General features: G+C 35.9%; 1 pseudogene across 2 annotated transcripts in view; it reads left to right on the forward strand.

The window, feature by feature from the left end:
• The window catches only part of LRRC77P (leucine rich repeat containing 77, pseudogene), a 28,064-nt pseudogene extending 24,241 nt beyond the window's left edge, over positions 1-3,823 (forward strand). The window contains exons 6-8 of one of the 2 annotated variants that reach the window (NR_033843.2): positions 377-603; positions 1,756-1,848; positions 2,201-3,823. The product of NR_033843.2 is annotated as a leucine rich repeat containing 77, pseudogene, transcript variant 1 (transcript). The remainder of the gene's footprint in view (positions 1-376; positions 604-1,755; positions 1,849-2,200) is intronic. The other variant, NR_145443.1, reaches the window with a different exon arrangement.
• Positions 3,824-6,000: the final 2,177 nt, after the last annotated feature.

Genomic DNA, 6,000 nt, shown 5'->3' on the forward strand with positions numbered 1-6,000 from the left:
ATCTCATTCTTTCTCTCATGGTTAGTTGGCTAAATCCACTCATTGATTTTTTTTCCCTTATAAGACTGTAAAAACTGGAATGAAATTCTCTTATAAAAACAGATTGTAGACAGTCCCATTTCTCTGATCAATATTTACCACCTGCTGAAAGATCTATTAGATCCCTGAAAGGGCAAGCTATGGCAAGGTCATCAGGTCAATTAATATGAATAATATTTTATTTTAGCTCCACTGCAAAGATAAGCAACACAGAATGAAGTGATAGCCATTCATCTTCCTTATAACAATAGGCAAAGTCCATTCACTTATAAAGAGAATAAGTGAAATAAAATGCTTTTGTTCAATATAGTTTTTTTTTTTTTAACTTTTGCTTTAGAGTATTCTCCTGTTTGCCAAACTTAAAAATGCTGGATGGAATCTTGAAGCTACCAGAAGATTGCTTATCACCAGAAACCAATATTTTTTCAAAAATATGCCTTGTATCCTAATGCAGTCTGTATAGAAAGAAAGCAATCATCATTGTTGCTAAAAGCTAATAAACACAGGACATGCATGATTAAATATTGCAGTTTATTTTATATCTTTTTGCTTTTCTAAATCAAGGTAGGAAAATATTTTCTGTAAAGGACCAGATGGTAAACATTTCAGGCTTTCTGGGCTATATGGTCTCTGTCACAACTACTCAACCCTGCCATTGTAGTGCAAAAGCAGCCATTGATAATATGTAAATGTATGGGTGTGTCTGTGTCTCAGTAAAACTTTATTTACAAAATGATGTGGCAGGCTGTAGTACTGATCTCTGCTCTAAATTTTAATGTCACATGGTTGATTGCACTACTCTTCACCAATATCCATGTGCCTTCCTTGGAAGAGGTGTATGATTCCCTCACTATTGAAGTCAGTTATGTCAAGCAACTTGCTTTGAGGAATGAAATGTAAATGAATGTGATATAGGTCACTTGCAGGCAGAAAATTTGAGAAACAGTTTGTGCCTTGTCACACTTTCTTTCCTTGTGCCATACCAGTGGGCAAATTTCCCGATCAAGGCCTATCTGCCTAGGTCCTGAGGTAAACCTGGCATGGAGCAGAGCCACGGTCATTCTATAAAAGATGGATAGTCAGAGAGTAAACCTCTGTTATCATTTGATGTTGCACCATAGCCTACCCTCTCCCTACTAACACACCTCCTTAAATTTAGGGACTGCAACATAACTCATTCAATGATGTATTTTCCCCCCAGAACAGGATAGCAGGCACTTGAAATGTTGAATGAATGAATAAATGGCTATTGTAGGAAATTATTAATGAGTGGCAGAATTATCGGGTAGGATACAACTTCAAAAGTTTAGGTGAAATGGATACCACATGTTCTTAGTTATAAGTGGGAGCTAAACATTGGGTCTCATGGACATAAAGATGGCAACAAGAGACACTGAGGACTACTAAAGGTGGGAGGAAGAGAAGGGGAAAAGGACTCAAAAACTAACTATTGGGTACTATACTCAGCACCTGGGTGATGGAATAATTCAAACTTCAGCATCATCTAATATACCCAGGTAACAAACCTGTATATGTACTGCCTGAATCTAAAATAAAAGTTGAAAAAAAAAAGCTTAGGTGAAATATATTGAAAACTTTAGGGCAACAGTGTTGGAAATCGACGTTATAAGGGCATAGGAAATTGGAGAGTTATGACAGCCAACAAATCATTTTATTGTTTAAGCTACTTTATGTTGGGTTATCTGTTTCTTGCAGGCAAAAACATGCTAACTGACAAGAAAATCATGGGTTTTATACAAGGATAACAAGTGCTGGGTTGCTTAGCTATGAGGAAGGCTAGGCTCACTGGTAAGTGTCTCAAGATGTAGATCATGCTAATCTGAAGATATGTGTTGATGTTGCAATCTGATGTCCTGTACAGGTTCTATGAGCAGTTTGGCCGAAGTTGGTAATATCTGTCTATGCCAGAGTGGGACTGATTAGAAGACCTATAAACTAAATAACATCAAACCCCAAAGTTGCATCTGTCTACTCACTGTAGTGGCGGTAGTTCTACCAGTCATCAGTGGTGACCCATAATGACATATCCAATAATTGCATTGCTGTAGTTTCTAGTATATCTGCTCACTTGACCTTTGTAGTACTTTCTTGCATCTTCTATAATGCACAGAGATCTGAGCCACTCTCTCCTTGGTTTTAGCATACCAGAAGATGTACAGCGTTGGAGAATTCAGGGATTTTTATCAACAATCAAACTATATTTGTGGAAATTTTGTGCATAAGTGCCAAAGATGGCTGACATCGGACCACATTCTATTTAACTCAACTGAATGACACCAAGCTCTCATCCTAAAACTTATAGTTACATCCACCCTTCTGAAATATTTAATTATTCTCCAATACACTGGAGGTAATAGGTATAAAAAGAATGAGCATGTGCAACTTAGTATCTCATATCTAATTTTGTGTCCCAAGTTCATTCTTCCCCTGAATGTCCCATGTCTACCAGGTGCAGGATTATCTGGATGGGTCAGTTCAAAACAATTTCAGGGAATAAATTGTGTAGGGGACTCAATTTTCTGAGACAGAAACATAATGTGAATAACTCCTTTGTTAGAAAATAATTTCAGTGACAGAAAGCCTTTCAGTTCATAAAGAAAACTTACATATCAACAAGCCTAGCTCCTCACTAGTCCCAGTGAATGCTTACATCAATCAGCTCTACAATATCCAGTAAAGGACTTTCCAATTCGCCTTTGAATAAACTGAGGTATTGGAAACATCTAAGAAAATGGTTTTTAATTCTTCCTAATCTTCAGGGAGTTCTTCCTTATATTGAGCTGATATCTGCCCTCTGTAACTTTCAACTAATTATTCAAATCTCTCAAGTGATTATAATTAATTCCATCTTATAAGGAATTTTTCTCAGCTTCCAGCCTCTTGAAAATACTCTGATATTTTCTCTAATATTCAAGTGGAAATGTAAATGGGTAACGTAAGAGTCTGTGGGGTTAGGAGGGTGGAGGAAAGGTAAGGGAAAGCTAATGAGAAATAACCAAAGCAAGAAAAAGAATTTTATTTTCTTCAAGTTCTTTGTACATCCAAAGTGGAAGATTCCTAAAATAAATTCCCCATACCACATTTTAAAAATTAGGTTAGCAAGCTTACTTTTTAATTTATTTAGAAGCCAACTACTTCCATTTATTATTTCTTTCCAGAATAGAACAATTATCACTAATTGTTTGTCATTATAATGCCAAACTATGTTAATAGATGCCTATTTTTTTAAAGGCTAATTGCAATCATGAAACCAAATATCTAATTAGTTTTAGAGCTTTGGACCACATGCATCAATATTTGAATCATTCAGGTGTATATTTGCTTTCTGCTTTTTTGTCTCTTCAAAAGAAGTATTATATGCATTCTGTTTATAATTTCTAAATGGTCATTTCAAAACTGATTATACGAGTTTATACAAATCATACTGAAATTTGTTGCTTAAAAAATCTTCATTTTTCTCTAAGCTCTCAGTGTCCTTGAGCTATATATATTTTATGGCAATTTTTACTTAATAGTTTGTATGCTAGTTATTTTTGACAATGACTACTAAAATGCAAGTTTCTTCAAGGGCAGATTCACCTTAGTTCTTCTTTATACCCCTCAAAAACCTCAGGGTTATTCTCAATAAGTATTGAGTAGGTGAGTGAACTTTGGATGTATACTCCTTGAAATTATATTTCTGGAGCTGGAAAACTTTAAAAAAATGTATGTCATGAGTCTAAAGAAATAAACATTATATGGCTGAAAAAATACTTTGTGAAAACCAAAAATCTCATGGAATCATGAACTTATCTATGGGACAGATGTTAGCCCTGAGGTTGTTCTGGGCTTCTTTTCTACCCACTTCCCATGACCAAATCAGTTCACTAGTCAGCAGTTCTATCCTTCCTCTCCTTCTCCTTCCATCTAAGGAGCTAGAGCTGAACTGCTTGGCCACTGATTGCTGACATGCTGAGTTTTCTACAGCTGGAGTTTTCAAGAGGGCTTTGATTTTGCTTTCCCCAGTTTTCCTTCTTCCACACTTGAAAAGTGGTAAGGGTACCAGCTTTCTGTCTATCTCTGACTCTCTCTCTCTCTTTCACACACACACACACACACACACACACACACACACACACTTTTTTTTTTCTTCCACCCTCCTGCACAGCAGGAGACCTTGCCTTGATCTTTGAAGGTCTACAGCAAGTGGTCTAGGCTAACTCAGTGCTGGGCAAATGGAGCAAAAACTCTTTTCTGCTTCCTTGCCTCCATGTCTTTCAGAGCTAGCAGATACAGCTTTTGTTCTATAGGAGTGATTCTTTCTAAATGTCAGCTCAACAGGATGATGGTCACTCTTGTATATCACTTAGGCATGAGTTCTGTTGAATCCCAGCACAATTTACCAGACTTTGTCAGTGGCTTTTGGAGTAGCAAAGACTCAATTTTTAATAAAGTGTTATTTTGTTTAGCTGGTCATTGTCATCATCACTTATCTCTTTCCAGAAAATTGTGAGAGGTATTTTTCTAGAGAAGGATTTTGGTATTCCAGAGTCCTGTGGCTAAAACATCATGCTAATCTCAAGTTACTCTCAATATTAGAGTATGTGGTTACATATGAAATACAAATATGCTGATAGTTTCAAATTGAACATTGTATCTTATTTGACCTAAGTCAAAACCCACTATAAACCATCAAAGCAATATCTTGAATAAGTCTCATAGATTCCAGTCATCTGGATTCTCAATCTATTGCCAGTATGGTCTTAGATAGGTAAAAGATGTTCCCTATGCAGATCACATTACACAAAAAGCTAATAATATAGCAATCCCTTGTTGCCCAAATGAAGGATTAAAATAAGGAACTAATATAAACATATATTTATTGTCACACAGAGCTATAAAATGCAATGAATAGCTGAATATTGGTCTGTATTATTCGGAGTAATTATAGTCTCTCTCTTTTTGGCTTTCTAAAATAAAAATAAAGACACAGCAGTTGATCACTGAGTAAAAGACCTAAGATGCCTTTCAAATGAATTTGTACTAAGTATCCACAGAGTATATTGTCCACCATATTTTAGAAGTAAAACTCATTCTGATGAATTGTTTTTAAATGTTTATTTACTTCTTTTTGCAAGCAGACACCCGTTCAATGATTACATATATTTTCTCTGCTTTTAAAATCATTATCCATCCATAACACATTTTAAGAAGTCTTGATGTCATTTTTTCTCAGTAAATTACCATGCGTAAACACAGAAAATAACTCACAGGTGAAAGAACATAAATTTGTACAGAGAAAATTTATTTTATTATGCGTTATTGTTCTAGTACTCAAAACTTTGACGGATAGTATCTGCTCATCTCTGCCCATGCTTTTCCCCATACTTAACTCTCCCAAGCTCTTCCAACTACACAAAAGGCATTACATAATCTAGCTCTGATTTAAAAGCTATAACAGCAGGCGAACCATTAGATATGAATCAGAAACTTCATTTTTTACAGATATCTATATTTTGATAGATAAATATTTTTTCCACGGGAACTAACATTTATTTAGCAGCTACAATATTCAAGACGCTGGGGTAACCTTTTTCGATCCTGTGCTATTCTATATGTAGCTTCTCTTCCCACTTAAAAAAAATTCTAACAATAAATAAAGCTTTAGGGTGTGTGGATCCTCATGTTGTCCCTCTGGTATATAAAGTTGTCTCCTATAAATCATTTTACATTTTGACCCTAAAATCCATCTACGAGCAGATATTCTTCCTCCTTGAATTTTGGCTGGGGCACAACAGAAAGGAGAGAGTAAGAGATAGGTTTGGCAGAAGTGTTACAGTACGTAGCTACCCAGGTATGAGTGGGGCAGGAGACGCCTCCCCCTACTCCACCAGGAATGTCAGGCAACCATCAGGTGATGGTGAGGTGTCAGGTGATTGTCACACTACCTCTCTAAAATAA

This window comes from Homo sapiens, chromosome 3 (genome assembly GCF_000001405.40).
Source record: "Homo sapiens chromosome 3, GRCh38.p14 Primary Assembly".
Classification (NCBI taxonomy): Eukaryota; Metazoa; Chordata; class Mammalia; order Primates; family Hominidae; genus Homo; species Homo sapiens.